Source organism: Homo sapiens, chromosome 1 (assembly GCF_000001405.40).
Source record: "Homo sapiens chromosome 1, GRCh38.p14 Primary Assembly".
NCBI classification, from domain to species: Eukaryota; Metazoa; Chordata; class Mammalia; order Primates; family Hominidae; genus Homo; species Homo sapiens.
In genome coordinates this window covers 180,833,012-180,850,300 of record NC_000001.11, presented here as the reverse complement: position 1 = coordinate 180,850,300, position 17,289 = coordinate 180,833,012, and the positions used below count along the sequence as shown (strand labels likewise).

At 35.4% G+C, this 17,289-nt stretch overlaps 1 protein-coding gene across 4 annotated transcripts in view, besides 1 other annotated feature; it reads right to left on the bottom strand.

Annotated features, from left to right (window-relative positions):
* Positions 1-17,289, bottom strand: part of XPR1 (xenotropic and polytropic retrovirus receptor 1) — a 258,258-nt gene that overhangs the window by 39,979 nt on the left and 200,990 nt on the right. The window contains exons 10-11 of one of the 4 annotated variants that reach the window (NM_004736.4): positions 15,256-15,427; positions 13,585-13,779 (exon numbers count right to left, since the gene is read on the bottom strand). The exons of 1 other annotated variant lie outside the window; for it this stretch is intronic. In NM_004736.4, coding sequence (NP_004727.2) covers positions 13,585-13,779; positions 15,256-15,427 — 367 coding nt within the window. Of the gene's footprint in view, positions 1-11,430; positions 13,780-15,255; positions 15,428-17,289 lie in introns of those variants that run through there. 2 more of the 4 variants (NM_001328662.2, NM_001135669.2) reach the window with 2 other exon arrangements.
* Positions 7,072-7,272: a silencer, noted in NCBI's record as "peak489 fragment used in MPRA reporter construct". NCBI's record gives its function as "represses an SCP1 promoter by STARR-seq MPRAs in K562 erythroleukemia cells {active_cell/tissue: K562}" and the evidence as "EXISTENCE:reporter gene assay evidence [ECO:0000049][PMID:32103011]".

Sequence of the window (17,289 nt, the reverse complement as noted above, 5' to 3'; positions counted from 1 at the left end):
CAGCCTGCCAATATTCTACACCAGTAAAACATATCAGATCTAAAAAATCCATCTGAAACAATTCTAAATATCAGAGTAAAACAGTCCAAAACTGTGATGCCTTTTTATATAAACCTTCATTTCATTTTTCTTTTAAATAAAATATTTTTAGAAGTAGAGTAAAACCTGTATTATCTCAAATGCTACCAAAAAATCAAAGTCAGTACTTCTGAAACACCTACTCACATATTTACTGTGGAATCTACTTCACCAACTGCAGTATCAATCCACTTTGAGATATAATTAAAAATAAAAAATTTCAATAGTCTCTAATGACTTTCAGCAGAATAAAAGCTGATGGGAGAAACAAAATCTTTTTGTTGGTGGGGAACTCCTGGGTCCCCTTTCTTGATGTGCTTTGTGGGTGTGCGCACGCATGTACCTGTATTGAGACTTCCACTGAAGTATAACTAACACTTGACTGTCTCTGCTCTGCTTTCTCATTCCTCTCTATGAAAACTTACACATATGTCCTTAAAACCTCCTTATGAAGTGAGTACCATTATCATCAGGCAACATGCCCAAGATTCATTGATCCAAAGCCCACACTCTCACCCAGTATGCTTTATTGCCTATGTACCATTCATCACTTGACTGCTAAGATTTTACAAATAGTTCAGTAGGAGGAAGTAGTATTCAAATCTACTTTTATTTGTCTCTATATTTGCTCAACACCACATCTGTTTACAACATCTGTTGTTTGCATGCACTTAATGTGTCCTCAGTGAATCACCTTTAGCAGAAGACATGGTAAAAATGCAAATTTTGGATCGCCCTAATCCTACTCAATTAGACTGAAGGTAAAACCCAAGATAATGCATTTTAAAGCAAGCATCCAAAGTAATTCAGATACACACCAAAATTTGAGGATCACAACATTATAGCACGCTGCCTTGTAGGAAATAACTTTTTAGAGTTAAAAAAAGGAATGAATCTAGAGTCAAAATTCTGGTTTTGCTACTTACTGTCATGTGACCTTGCGCAAGCAAAATGAGAATAACACCTGTTTCCTTTCTTTCGGAGTTGGTATCAGGTTCAAAATGACATAATGTCTGCCAACACATGACATATTTGCAAATAGCTCTATCAGACTAATAGAATGTAAAGAGCTAAAGGGGCCTTAGAAAGTCTAGGCCAACAACTTAAAAATTTTTTTTACCTTTAATCGTGATTCTAGTCATTGGTCTAAGATACAGAGTGACATATTATACGCACATGTGTGTATAGTATTTTGCTATACTTAGGAAGTATTCTTATATTCTTTCTTAAAAAATTAACAAACATCTCCTTGGCACCTACAGAGCTGACCACATGGCTTTTCTCCTTTGGTTTAGTGATATGGTAACATTTAATTTTTAAGGATTCCTAACACTGAATTATTTTTTGCATTACTAAAATATCTTAGTCATGGTATATTATTCTTTTAATATACTGCTCAGTTCTAGCTGCAAACATTTTATTAAGACTTTTTATAATGTTGGTGGGAATGTAAACTAGTATAGTCACTATGGAGAGCAGTATGGAGGTTCCTCAGAAAGCTGCATATAGGAACTACCACGTGATCTAGCAATTCCACTACTTGGCATTTCAGTCCAAAGAAAAAGAAATCAGTATAACAAAGAGACATCTGCAGTCCCATGTTTACTGCAGCACTATTCACAATAGCCAAGATAAAAAAATCAACATAAGTGTCCAACCACAGATAAATGGATAAAGAAAATGTGGTGTATATACACAATGGCATACTATTCAGCCATAAAAAAGAATGAAATCCTGTAATTCCCAGCAAAACAGATGGAACTGGAGTACATTACATTATGTGAAATAAGCCAGGCACAGAAAGTTAAACACCACATGGTCTCACTCATATGTAGAAGCTAAAAATGTTAATCTCATAGAAGTACAAAGTCCAACAGAGGTTACAAGAAGCTGGGAAGCATAGGGGAGAGAAGGATAGGGAGAGATTTGTTAAAGGATTCAAAATTACATCTAGATAGGAGCAATAAGTTCTAGTGTTCTATACCACAGTAGGATGACTACAGTTAACAATAATATACAGTTTCAAATAGCTAGAAGGATAGTGAGTGTTACCAACACAAATGATAAATGTTTGAGATGGATATCCTAATTACTTTGATCTGATCACATATACAGAACATCACTATGTACCCTATAAATATGTATAATTATCTTGTATCAATTTTTTTAAAGAATTTTTGTATGTATATTAATAAGTAACATTAGACTACAGCTTTATTGAGTGTGATATTTTTCAGAATTATGCTAGTTTTGTAAAGAGAAATAAGATGCTTTCCTTCTACGTTTCCAAACGGTTTAAATGGCACAAACCATTCCTTGAAGGTTTGAAAGGTTTTACAAAGTTTCACTTGTGAAAAAACTGTGGTCTGACACTTCAAAGACAACTTTCCCTATTCCTGCAATAGTTCTTAGTCCATAATTTAGAGTGTCTGCCTTCTTGCATTTATCTTGTTAATTTCTAATTTCCTAAAAATAAATGGTCCATTTTATCTAGACATTTACTCATAATTATTTTAAATTCTTCCACATCTATAATGAAAATCCCTTCCCTAATATTTTGCATGTGAGTTTTTTCACGCTTTCATCACAGATGGTGGAGAGGATATCAATACCAATTAACACCAGTTATAGTGTATTTACACAACTTAATCTTTATAATAAACTTATGAGGTGGGAATTATTCTCTCAATTTTACTAATTTTAAATCAAAGAAATCTAGTCACTTTCTCAGGGTAACATAATTAGTAAGTGGCTAAATTAACCTAGTCCTAACTCCAAAGCCCACATTCTAGTTCTCAATGTGAAAACGTGCCTTTCACTAAGATGGTGCTTTTAAAATTCTTACTGGAAGAAGGGTTGATTAAATTGAGAAGAGCTAAGTATTTTGCTCTTTAGGTAAGAAATACTACTTTCTGCAATAGAAAGTTTAATGACAGATTTAAAAATTAATTTCAAATATCAACTTTTTCAGTTGAGAAAGGAAACAGAATTAGTCTAATATTCATAAGTGAGAAGACTATATAACAGATCTTAGAGTTTCTGCCTAATTTTCTTCAGTGATTCAGTCTTTTCTATACCAGCTATGAAATGTGTTGTGTAGACTTCAACATTCTACTTTGGGAGATATTTACTTCGTTTGAGAAGATTCCTGGTAAGGATAAAATAGTTACAAGTAGTACAATTCTACCTTTAAAAGAAAGATGTTCTGGGGTATTATTCAGAAGCAACTAAAAAGTATTTAGAGAGAGGCCTGAGGAGCCCACAGGAGAGGAACAAGTAGAAATACAAATGCTACTTATCAATGAGATATTTAGGTAGATGTTTTATTTTCCTTCCTATTAAGTGGCATCATTTTTTTTTTTTTTTACTATGTGAAGAAAATATTGTGTGTAGTGTACGAAAAGTTTCTTCACTCTGAATATTTTCATGAAAACCGTATCTTATACCTATCCAAAGTATCAATGAAATTAAGTATTAGCCAGGCACCGTGGCTCACACCTGTAATCCCAACACTTTGGGAGCCCGAGGCAGGCAGGTCACCTGAGGTAAGGTCAGGAGTTTGAGACCAGCATGGCCAACATGGTCAAACCCCATCTCTACTAATAATACAAAAATTAGCTGGGTGTGGTGGTGGGCGTGTGTAATCCCAGCTACTCAGGAGGCTGAGGCAGGAGAATTGCTTGAACCTGGGAGGCAGAGGTTGCAGTGAGCTGAGATCGTGCCACTGCACTCCAGGATGGGTGACACAGCCAGATTCCATCTCAAAAAAAAAATAAATAAATAAACAAAAACAAAAACAAACAAACAAGAAATTCAACATTAGCCCACTGGTCTTTCGTTCATTACATTCTAAAAAGCATGCTCACAACATTCCTTATTTATTAACAATATAAATTGAGAAAATTGCTAGCCAGCTTTAACAAATTACCCTAACTACCCTTGACATTTTTTTTTTTTTTTTGAGATGAAGTCTCACTCTGTAGCCCAGGCTAGAGCGCAGTGGCGTGATCTCAGCTCACTGCAACCTCCGCCTCCTGGGTTCAAGCGATTCTCCTGCCTTGGCCTCCCGAGTAGCTGGAATTACAGGTGCATGCCACTCCACCTGGCTAATTTTTTATAATTTTTAGTAGAGACAGGGTTTTGCCATGTTGGCTAGGCTGGTCTTGAACTCCCAACCTCAGGTAATCTGCCTGCCTTGGCCTCCCAAAGTGCTAGGATTACAGGCGTGAGCCACCGTGCCCAGCCCCCTTGATATTTCTTAAGACCTAAAAAAGGATACAACACTAAGCAAATTAATCATGTCAAATGATTCTGCCATCACTTGAAACAACATTAATATGTTAGTTTTGTTTCCCTCCAATTCAAGAATGACTTTCGATTTTCTGGCAGAGAGAAATTATTTTCGTATTTTGGCCGAGTCCACATTGCTCTTAATTTAAGTGTGTCAGCAGGCTCAGGTCAGCTTTGGAAGACTGAGTTTGAGACTAGCCTGGGCAACAGTAGTGAGACCCTGTATCTAAAAACAATAATAAAAATTAGCTGGGCATGGTAGCACGACCCTGTAGTCCCAGCTACTCAGGAGGCTGAGGTGGGAGGATCCCATGAGCCTAGGAGTTTGAGGCTACAGTGAGATATGACCAAGCTACTCACTGCACTCCAGCCTGGGTGACAGAGCAAGACCATCTGTGAAAACAGACACACACACACACAGTCATTATTCTTCATCTACTATTTGCAGGTCCACTGTGTGACTTTTAACAAGCCACTGTATAATATTTCATATACTATGCAGTTACTGTAAGTAAGCTATTCTCCTATTGCTGAACATTTGTTAGATTATTTCAGTTTTTTACTATATAATGTTACAAAGATACATTCATTTTTGCCCAATTCTCTATTTAGGAAAAAGTTGTGGAAAGGTACTTACTAGGTCAAAAGGTATGAATGATTTTAAGATTCGAGAGAATTCCCAAATTGCTTACAAATTTATACTCTACCAACAGAATGAGTTTTCATCTCTCCGTACCCTTGCCAGTGATAGGCATCATCACTTCTTTGATTAAATATTATTTTAATTTATATTTCTGTTTTTATTACCAAAGTGGAAAATTTTTCATGTTTATTAGTTATGTTTATTCTACAAAATTAACTGTTTTAAGTCCTTTGCCACTTTAGACAAATCAGTTTAAATTGTTTTCTGTATCACAGTAGATTAGATTACATTTTAAAACTCTTCTCTCCCTTTCAGCCCATCCCTGTTTCCATGGCAGAAGTATACTTTCTTGCCCCATTAATGTAGGGTTTGGTGACTTGCTTTGGCCTAGCAGTTGCAATGGCCTTTGGAGGATAGCAGATATGAAGCAAGCAGAGGCTTAAAATTTGTGTAATAGGTCTTGTTTCTGTCAGTGCCATGTGAAGTTTCCCCTGGCTAAGTGGCTGCTCTTTCAATTGAAGCGCCAGAATGAACACACATGAAATAGACCCAAACCCAACCTGCAGTGAGGAGCCAAACCCTGCCAGAATAGCAGCCTGAAGGCTATCCAGCCGAGCCCAGCCTAGTCCAGTCAATTCCCAGCTGACCTACAGATGCATAAGCAAGAATGGATTAAAGCTGTTTTTAAGCTACTGAGTTTTGGGTTGGTTTATTATGCTGTTAATAGTCGATGAGTACACTTACTGTATTATATTATAAAACTCTAAGGGAAAGAGAGTCACATACAATTTATTATGTTCCTTAGAGTACCATATACTTAGCAGGAACTCAAGGTCTGTAAGTACATTTGCCTGCTCATTTTTTTCTCTTTCTTTTCTTTTTGCTGTAAATACCTAGATATGACATTTTCTGATGTTTATACTTTTCACCATAGCTTTCTCATGTAAAATTATGTATAATATAAAGTATGTAAATTAAAATGAAAATTAAAAATTCAACTTTCAAGCAATTGGTCTTCAAATTTCTCTTCAATTAGACAAACTCCTGTATAAAAAATTTTCAACCATTTCTTTTTTTCTTAGACGGAGTCTTGCCCTGTCGCCCAGGCTGGAGTGCAATGGTGTAATCTCGGCTCACTGCAACCTCCGCCTCCCAGGTTCAAATGATTCTCCTGCCTCAGCCTCCCGAGTAGCTGGGATTACAGGCGCCTGCCACCACACTCAACTCATTTTTGTATTTTTAGTAGAGATGGGGTTTCACCATGATGGCCAGGCTGGTCTCGAACTCCTGACCTGGTGATCCACCTGCCTCAGCCTCCCAAAGTGCTGGGATTACAGGTGTGAGCTACTGTGCCCGGTCAACTATTTCTTTTAAACACCACAGATCCTCTCTCAATTTCTAAGCAATAAAATAGTAGAGACTTTTTAAACTTTAAACTTTTGTACACGAGTGTTACAAATGCAACATAATTTATGTAGAAATGCCAATTACATCTATCAGTTTTAAGAGCAATTAAGAAAACAAAGGTGACTAGAGATAAGACTACCAAAATGGTATTGGGTGTAAGCATATGTGTTCTTTTTTTTTTTTTTAAAGACTTTTCTTTAAGTAACAAAGAAGATGCAAAGGAAATTTATTCAAAGCTATAATTAATATTTTAAAAGCAATTTAAGATGGGATATAATTATAAAACCATTTAAAAATAACAATGCCAAGTAGATAAAAACCACTCAAGAAATATTTGTTGAATTAAAGTAAAATTAATAATCAGGAAAAAAGTCTCATATTTGGCTTTACGGCATCGTCAGTTCTTAAGCAAATATTGCCAAGATAAATTCCCAAATAATTTGCTTATTTTCTGCATTATTAGTTAGGCTAGGAAATTACAGCAGAAATATATCAATTTTGAAAGAGTTAAAAATTTGAGCTACTTTAATAGTAAGCCAAGAATGAGAGCATTTATCCAAATCAGTTTTTAAAAATGTGTGTATATCTTTTTTTTTTTAAAGTTAATGAAACAAAAATTTCCCTAGAGAATGAAAAACAATTAGTGTTTCTATTATAGCATAAGAAGACTAAAATGTGGACATTTTGGCATAACAGTCTATTACTCAGGGTAGACAGAGGGTAATAAACTGGTCATACCCCAGGGAGGAAGCACTTCAGGACTATGTGTGCTCACTCAAACAATGATAGGCGCTGAAGGCCCTGAGCTCCTACTGAGGAATCCTCATTAGGGCGCACAGCAGCCCTTAGAGAACGTTAAACAAGAAGGGATCTAGAAAGATCTGGGCATTGGAAAACAACCACACAGACATAAATGAACTCTTAATTGTGCCGAGAATACCTCTTTGTTCCAAGTATTTTATAAAGTCTAGTAGCAAATGCTTTTTAGCAAACACTAACAAAAAGTCTAAAGTAAAATACAAAATCAAAGAGTAACAAAGAGCTAACTAAATCACTAAAAATTTACAAATATTTTAGAATGTTAGAAACTGTAAATGAAAAATAGAAAATCTAATGAAATGCTTTCCCTCAACAACCACTTAGAAAGAACAACATAATGGCCTTTTCTATTATTGTACCTCCCACAGGCTTTTCTTTGCCAAAGCCAAGAAACCTCAAGGACACACAAAAACCATTTAAAACACGTTTGTGCCTCCTCCAATCCCAATTCCAACAAAACACTTGTAGGAATTGCCTTCAAATTTAGCCATGTAATGAAATGTGAATTCTTAAAATATGGAGACTGGCTACTAGCTAAATTCCTTTGTTTCTAAAATCAATGATAGAAAAAATATACTGAAATATTTCAAACGTGTTTTCCTTTTTAATATAAGTGAGTGCTAGCTCACTTATATTATCATCCTTAATTTCCCTCAAATGGGCTGCCTAAACCTCCAACCTCCTCCCTTACTTTCCAAAAAATGATTCTAGACACACGGTTTACTCTTACATCTCAATTTTTACAAATCATGCAGCAAAACATGAGACACTCTGAAACAATCTTGAAAATGCCCCTAATATAATGCTGTTGCTATGGTAACTCTTGCAGGCTAGTTCTTTGAAAAGACTCAGATCTCTGAATCCAAACAAGGTTACCTCACTGTCTTTTACTCCTTGCCCCTCTAAAATTTATCCTTTGTAACAGTACACATACATTTCATAGAAAAGTATCTACCCAATTAATCATATTGAATCTTTTCTTTTGGCTTAATGATTATTTCTAAAGTCCATGTTTTCTAGTGCCTTTTCTCTTGGAATATTATCCAAGAAAATAACAGAAATCAAATTCCACTTATTTGATGTTTTTATTTTTCCCATTTCCCATGTTCTTTAACAAATTCTACTTCTGATCAATATTCAATGTCAAATTTTCTGTCAATGGTTCCTCTGAGTTGTCTTTTCAATCTTTTTCCCTCGATTTTAAGCTTTTTGGTTAAAAATTTTAGTGATATGAATATTTAACATGTAGCAACTATGAGTTTTTTTTTATTTACCAATATGATTAAGATATATAACCAATGGTCCATCTAAAAAGTGTTTTTGTTTCTGGTTTTTAAAAAACTTTGACAGTGAGTACTGAATAGTGTTCGGTGAGTAAGTAGCTATGTTACTTGGGCAAAAAGCCAAACACATTTCTAATCGATACTTGCCCTGTGCAAGTCCCCTGGCCAAGACAATCATTAAGGGTTTCTCTTTAAAAGGCTGTAAAGGAAGACACACATATAGCAGCTCTAGTCAGCAAAGAAAATATTTCATTTTATCATAAATTCCCTTTACGTAGCATGTTAAGAGTCTAAGGGGATTTCATGTGCACTCTATTATTTACTCCTTAAAACAAACCTGTGAAACAAACAGAATAGGTACCATTATCTCCACTTTAAAGATGTCGCTTTGTCTGGAAAAAAAAAAAATCCCTAGGCTGAAGAATAGAACTGAGAACTACTACACCTCCACCACTCACAAATTACATGTCCTTGAGCAAGGCACATAACAGGGTAACTAGAATCCTCCTTAACTTAATATAAACAATAGGATACAGCTTAGATGTTACCTCCAGAAGTCTTCCTCCCATTCTGAGGCCTAGGAGACTGAGTTAGAGACCTGTGCTGGGGGTTCTTTCGGTACCCTGCTTATCTCTTTATACTCTATTTTTATGCCTTTAAAAAAAAACTGTGGTAAAAACAAACAAAATTTACCATTTTAAGCCATGTCTAAAACAGTACACTTAACAATACTATTAAGAACCAATTAATGCCTTTTTACTTTGTCTATTCCCCCACTAGATTATAAATTATTAAGGGCAAGAATTGTGTTGTGCTTTGTTGCTATTTTTTTTAGTGCTTAGCACGGCATGTTACATAAAATATTCTTAGTAAGTACTTGCTGAATGTATGCCTGCTCTGCCTCCCTGTCTACCTATCTACCTGGTCATGCATCTAACTCAGAACTAGAATGAAGGAACGAGGTGCTTACACATGGACATATATACATATATATATATTTCAATTTTTTCCTCTCTGTTTTAAGCTTTTTAGTTAAAAATTTTAGTGATATGAATATTTAACATGTAACTATAAGGTTTTTTTTATTTTAGCAATATGATTAAGATATATAACCAACGGTCCATCTAAAAAATATTTTTGTTTCTGGTTTTTAAAAAACTTTTACTGTGGGCAAAAAATTTTGTCCAGTTTATATATATATATATATATATATACACACACACACACACACACACACACACACACACAAATATGTTAACCTGAAGTCAAAATTTTTTCCACTTGTCTGACTGATTTCCCAATTAGGGTATGAAGAGGATCAGAGTATGCCACCCCAAATATGTAACTTTGGCATAAGGATTATTTTGAGCTGAAGGTAACTAAGAAACCCTCAGATGAAGGGAAATATATCTGCCCTCCCTCTTTTTGTCTAAAAGCAGGGCATAAATTCCTTTTGTAAATGTAATATAAATTTCCATTTCTAAAGGTGACGCTGTCACTCCCATACTAGGAAGAGGAGGGCAACACTTCTTTTTTTTTTTTTTTTTTTTTGAGACAGAGTCTCGCTCTGTCGCCCAGGCCGGACTGCGGACTGCAGTGGCGCAATCTCGGCTCACTGCAAGCTCCGCTTCCCGGGTTCACGCCATTCTCCTGCCTCAGCCTCCCGAGTAGCTGGGACTACAGGCGCCCGCCACCGCTCCCGGCTAATTTTTTGTATTTTTAGTAGAGACGGGGTTTCACCTTGTTAGCCAGGATGGTCTCGATCTCCTGACCTCATGATCCACCCGCCTCGGCCTCCCAAAGTGCTGGGATTACAGGCGTGAGCCACCGCGCCCGGCCGAGGGCAACACTTCTTTACCAGAGATGACGCTTATCAATGGAGAAGACACCAACTTTGGTATGCATAACAAACCTTACTAAATAATCCTTTTCTTTCATTAGAATCTCCATATATTTACCTTTTCACAATTTACCATCCAGAAGCCCAATCCCCTACTTTTGTCTAAACTTACTTTTTCACAATTTATCATTCTTTGTAAAAATGGTATATAAGCCCCCCTCCAACCCCTAGTCTAAACACTTCTTTTGGGTCTTCCTTTCTATGAAGACCTCTGTGTACATAACAAACCGTTTCTTTTATTAATCTATCTGTTGTCAATTTCATTTGCAGGCCCCAATTACTTAAGAGGGTAGAGGAGTAAGTTTTTCCTCACCTACAGGTATATTGCAGATATTTTCCATAGCTCAGATGAGTGTAATCTGAAGTTCCAGATTTTTTGCAAAAGCACATTTAAAGAATATGATAAAATTATTTCATCATAAAATATTGCACTGGTAAATGTGTACTGAAATTAACAATATTTTTATTTTCCTAACAATTATTTGCATATGTTGCATTAGACAAAGAGCTTCTAAAATTAATAATCATACGATGGTCTACTGTCTAGGTTAGAAAGTTAATGACTCCAATGGCTGGTTATCAAATCCTTTTTCATTCAGTTCATGTTCAATTATTTGCTTTATTTATTTTCAACTCTTTGCTTTCAACCAAGAAAATTTCATTACTAAAAATATTTATTGATGACAGATCACTATACAATTTTTTGAACAAATAACTCAGAATTGGGTAAATAACCCATAAATAACTCACTGAACTCATAAAACTGTGGGATACTGCAACAACGAAACTCCTATTCTCATCTGCATAGCCACAAGATTTCTGAGTTTACTTATATAAAAACTGAAAAAGGAAATAGTAATAACATAAATTTATCTCATTAAGAAATGTTTATCTGCAACAATTACTTATAAAAATTAAATGTGTAATACATTTGTAATGTTGCTTTGATCAACTGTAGGTAATAATCAGGGTAATAGTAATTACAACCCAGAACAGAAAACAAATTAATCTCTTAGTGACAGAAATAATTTAATTTCAATTTACATGTTTATGTAGCAGACAAGTCATTAAAACAAAAATATATTACATTAAAATAAAGATACATTATAGTTCAACAGCAAAGAGATGGAAATTTTCTGACTATTGCACAATAGAAATATTTAGCAGTTTTATTTTAAAATGTGAACATTTAAAATACACTGAAACGGTATCTTTTGTAATTATTTAAACTTAAGATGAAAAATTTCAGTTGTAAACTTAAAAATGTCCGAAAGGTAATACGGTTTATAAAATTCTTTCAAGAAGTATGTCAGTAAGAAATGTCTTAAGCCCACAATACTATCTAAACTGTTACTTTTTTAGTTTAGATTTGTTTTAGATTTGTTTTAGATTTGGACTGTTCACAGATTTGAGGAATTTGGATTTTCAGCTTTTTACTGAATGCTATCAGTATACAGTTGACCCTTGAACAATATGGGTTTGAACTTCATAGGTCCGCTTAACATATGAATTTTCTTCTGCCTCTGCTACCCATGAAATAGCAAGACCAACCCCTCCTCTTCCTCCTCCTCCTCAGCCTACACAATGTGAAGATGACATAGATGACCTTCATGATAATCCACTTCCACTTAATGAACAGGAAAGATATTTTCTCTTCCTTATGATGTTCTTAATAAGATTTTATTTTCTCTAGCTTACTTGATTATAAGAGTACAGTATATATAATACACATGACATACCAAATATGTGTTAATAGACCATTTACTTTATCAGTACGGCTTCCAGGCAATGGTAACTATTAGTAGTGCTTTTGGGAGTTAAAAGTTATCTGTGGATTTTCAACTGTGTGAGAGGTTGGTGCCCCTAATCTCCAAGCTGTTCAGGCGTCAACTGCAGTTAAAGGTATATTATGTTCTAAAATATTCGACCAAAAAACAGTACTCATTTTTACCTGGGATGGAAGAAAAGTAAAGGGTTCTTTATAACTTAGTAAATGGAGTCATAAATACCATGTATTAAATCAGTTGCCCAATTTATAAATTCTCTAGTAACAACCTCCTGAATTATGATATATGCCTGGACTTAACAACAGCATTCCACAGTATGAGTTAAAATTATGGGAACTTTGGGGATGTGTTTCCTTCACTGACATACTTAAATTATATCATTTAACAAGAATGCCTACATGGTGGTAAAATTATTGGCTACATTTATCAATCCTACTCCAACCACAGAATCTACTGCAAAAAGTGGAATTATATTATAAATATCATCTGCTGCATCAAATCTCAAGGTTTATTGAAGCAATGTTCTGATCTTTTATGACCGTTAGACACACTTTAGATTGACAGCAATTTTGTAGCACTGGCCAAAGCTCCTAAAATATAGTCTCTCAATTAAGAAAAAAAAATCACTGAAAAAAAATTTTGCAAAGTATTTAAAAATAACTATTAATTTCAATTAGTAACATCTCTTTACAACCTACAGATGAAAAAGTGCAGCATCTAAGGTGTTGGTTGATGTTGACTTAAAAAGACAAAGATGGAACGCATTTTACTAAAAGGAAGTGAGATTGTTGACTGACAGTTCTTGGAAAAAGGTTAAAAATTCAAAAGGAGTGGCTGCATGTGGCTCAGAACTTAAAAGCCTTTTCTCTTCTCAACAGAAGAGCAGTCTCAAGTAATAATACGTTGCCATGGAGATGAGAAACTAGAGGAATCAGAGAACTCAATTTGCAGTTAAATGGGCTGGAAACAATTCTTACTACTTGGTGAAGGAAAGCGATTAAAAATATACTTGATTGCCACAGGGAATTTTTTTTCACCAAGACATTTCCCAACCTCATTAATGAACAAGGAAGTCTAAAAACAAATGGAAACCCAAGATATCCATAGATTGAACCCATTAAACATAATTCAGAATTTTAAACATTATCACAAATTATTATTCTGGGTGACTGTGCTTCTTTTCAATGGTACTTTATCAGTAGATACTGGAATGAGACTAAAACTGCATTCAAGAACAAACTGATATAACTGAAGGAACTGAAATTTCAGTGGAAAAAAAAGAGCATGACAAATGGAAAAGTAGCCAGAGTAAGAAATAGAGTCAGGTAGTAAAAATCCAGGTTTAAAAAAATCTCTTCAGAGTCAATCACAGAATACCTTTGTGAGTGCTGTAAAGGGCTGCAAACGTCACCATGAAGAAAGTTGTGGAGTATTTGCCAGCATTAACTAAATGAGGAAAGGCCCTTTTTGTGTCTCGATATCGGCGCAGGCACTGGATGAAGCGAAGCCAAGCAGGAATGCACTGAACAATGGCCCGCACACCATATGTATATTTGTGGCAAATTCCTGATTCTGTGAAGATTTCAAAGAAGAAAAATTACCATTGAAAAAAAGTAACTTGTTCACATCATTTAGCCATATAGTGTAGCTAATACCAAGTCTAAAAAAGCAAAAAACCTTCAGAATCACTTTCTTCTTTGCAACTATTATATTCTCAAGATTTTCTTTTTTTTTTTTGAGACTGAGTCTCGCTCTGTGGTCCAGGCTGGAGTGCAGTGGCACAATCTCAGCTCACTGCAACCTCTGCCTCCCGGTTCCAGGGATTCTCTCATCTCAGCCTTTTGAGTAGCTGGGATTACAGGTGCATACCACCACACCCAGCTAATTTTGTATTTTTAGTAGACATGGGGTTTCACCATGTTGCCCAGGCTGTTCTCAAACTTCTGACCTCAAGTTATCTGCCCACCTCAGCCTCCTACACTGCTAGGATTACAGGTGTGAGCCACTGCGCCCAGTCTATTCTCAAGCTTTTTAGTGATAGATAAGTCAAGGAGAGAAGGTAAAATATGTTGTGGGGGAACTAGTGGGGAAATTTGCTCTCTCAGATTTATGGATATCTGTCCAGGAATCACTTTCTTTGGAGTGTGATAAAACTGTAAGAAAATTAGAAGATGAGTATACTAATAGAAGGAGGAAAAAACGGGTTGGCTCTGTAATTTGAAACATCTGGAAAACCTACAAGTATCACCAGTGATTCTAGACAATTTTGTGAATTCCAAACCACCACAACACAAGACACCCAAGAGCACATTCTCTTGTACACCCACCTCCCCTCTTTTTTTAAACCAAGAACAAACTGTGTGTTTAAATAAGAATGGAGTTGGTAAATCAACTTTTCCTTGAATTCTGAAATTCAGAATTGAGTGTGATCAACCTACAACAGAACTGTGATCCACTGGCAATCAATAAGAATGTGTCAGCATCGGCTTCATCAACTTTCGTTAGTCACATGTTACATATTCTATCTCAATGAGATCTTTGTCATGAAGGCAAAATTCCTTAATAACTTGAACTGCTGGCATAAACTAAGGGGGGGGTGCGAAAACGGCCAGAAGAAAAATAACATCCCAAGTAAGAATTAAAAAGCAATCTGTAGTTACTCTCAAAGCACTTGATCTATTTCTAAATAATTAGTATTTCTGATCACTGGTATATATGTTACATTATACAGCAATAGTGAGACAACAAATTGCTGGCATGAAAGCACTTGCAATATAACTACCAATGTGCTAGAAGAAAGTTTTAGAATTCTTTAAGTGTAAGTTGTAAATATCTTGGCAAATGGACAGACGAAATCCTAATGCATAATTTAAAAGCCAAATTATATCAGATAAGGAGACTGCTAACAGAATGCCAAGTACATTAAATTAAGTTTATAATATTATTGGGTAAGTTTTCATCATGACCTTAACTTTCTCATTTATCCTTCCCAATATATCTTGGTTTACACCAGCGATTTAGTAGTATAGATGCAAATTCATACCCTACCTTCTGAATTATTTGGCAACAGGCCCTTACTTTCATCCCATTTGAGCTCCAAACTGTAGAAGCAGATCATATATTCCAGGTCCATCAGTATCACTGACAGGCTGTTCAGCTGATCCGCCAGCCAGAAATCAGCAAAGCCTACCTTATGGAAGGGGGCTGTAAATACTCGAAACTGAAAGAAAAAAAAAATCAGAAAACACAGAAACAAGAAAAGTCGTATTAAATGTCTCCATTTCATGTCTGACCATTCAGCATGATTACTTTAGTTGATAAAATGGAAACCAAAGAACCAATCATAAATACAGAGACCTGGCAACAGTGGCTAGGTTGAGAATTAGCAGTGAAAGGAATGAGCTGAATGGATAACTAAGAAAGGAAGTAAAGGAGGAAAAAAAGCAGGAATAACTATAGTTAGAAAACAGCATGGATGCTGCTAATTCTTTGCAAAAATCCAAATATTGTTAAGGGATCAGGGAGATGCCACTACCCCCTGATTTTTCATCTAAAAATATACACGTTTATGTAAACAAATCTTTCCATATTCATACTGACTTTTCAAGTATTTGAGCCTAAAGATTTTGATCTCACATTTTTATACCTAAATTGTTCACAATTATTACATACATGTCAGCCATTAACTAAAGTTGTACTTTAAAAATTTATTACAGGGCTGGGTGTGGTGACTCACACCTGTAATCCCAGCACTTTGGGAGGCCAAGGTGGGTGGATCATGAGGTCAGGAGTTCGAGACCAGCCTGGCCAACATGGTGAAACCATCTCTATTAAAATACAAAAAATTAGCCGGGCATGGTAGTGGCCACCTGTAGTCCCAGCTACTTGGGAGGCTGAGACAAGAGAATTGCTTGAACCTGGGAGGCAGAGGTTGCACTGAGCCGAGATCATGCCACTGCACTCCAGCCTGGGGACAGAGCAAGGCTCCATCTCAAAAAAAAAAAAAATTATTACAATATGTACATTTCTAAGTCAAACACTTGTGACTTCTGCTTTAATTCTATGAACGTTCCTACTCCTTGATATTTGTATTCTTTTTTTGTCTAGAGTGGAGGTGTAATTATATGGTATTTCTGAACTGAAATACAGATAAATGATTCAAAAACTCACAGTTAAGGAGAATAATGTTTCTTTGATCATAAAGAACTGATTAGTAATTCTTGTCTATATTTTCCAGATAGCATATGACAAATGTTTATAATTCATCTAAAAAAGATGAGAACAGATTAAAGACTGTACTGTTTTGGATTTGGAGAGAAATATTTTAATTTTTAAATGCAGTTAAAAATTATAATGTATTCATATTTGTACTTTCTGTTGAAATGCACGCCTGAAGAATTGTTTAGCTTTTGTGTTTATTCTTGATGAAAAGCTTTGTTCTTGTTTTTAAGTTTGCACTCAAATCTTAAGAAATAAATTCACCCCTTTACCATTATGTAATGCCCTTGTCTCTTTTGATCTTTGTTGGTCTGAAGTCTGTTTTATCAGAGACTAGGATTGCAACCCCTGTTTTTTTTGTGTTTTTTTTTGCTTTACATTTGCTTGGTAAATCTTCTTCCAGCCCTTTATTTTGAGCCTATGTGTGTCTTTGCATGTGAGATGGGTCTCTTGAAAACAGCACACCAATGGGTCTTGACTCTTTATCCAATTTGCCAGTCTATGTCTTTTAATTAGGGCATTTAGCCTGTTCACATTTAAGGTTAATATTGTTATGTGTGAATTTGATGCTGTCATTATGACACTACCTAGTTATTTTGCCCATTAATTGATGCAGTTTCTTCATAATTGTCGATGGTCTTTACATTTTGGTATGTTTTTGCAGTGGCTGGTACCAGTTGTTTCTTTCCATGTTTAGTGCTTCCAATAACAGACAAACAGAGAGCCAAATCATGAGTGAACTCCCATTCACAATTGCTACAAAGAGAATAAAATACCTAGGAATACAACTTACAAGGGATGTGAAGGACCTCTTCAAAGAGAACTACGAACCACTGCTCAAGGAAATAAGAGAGGATACAAACA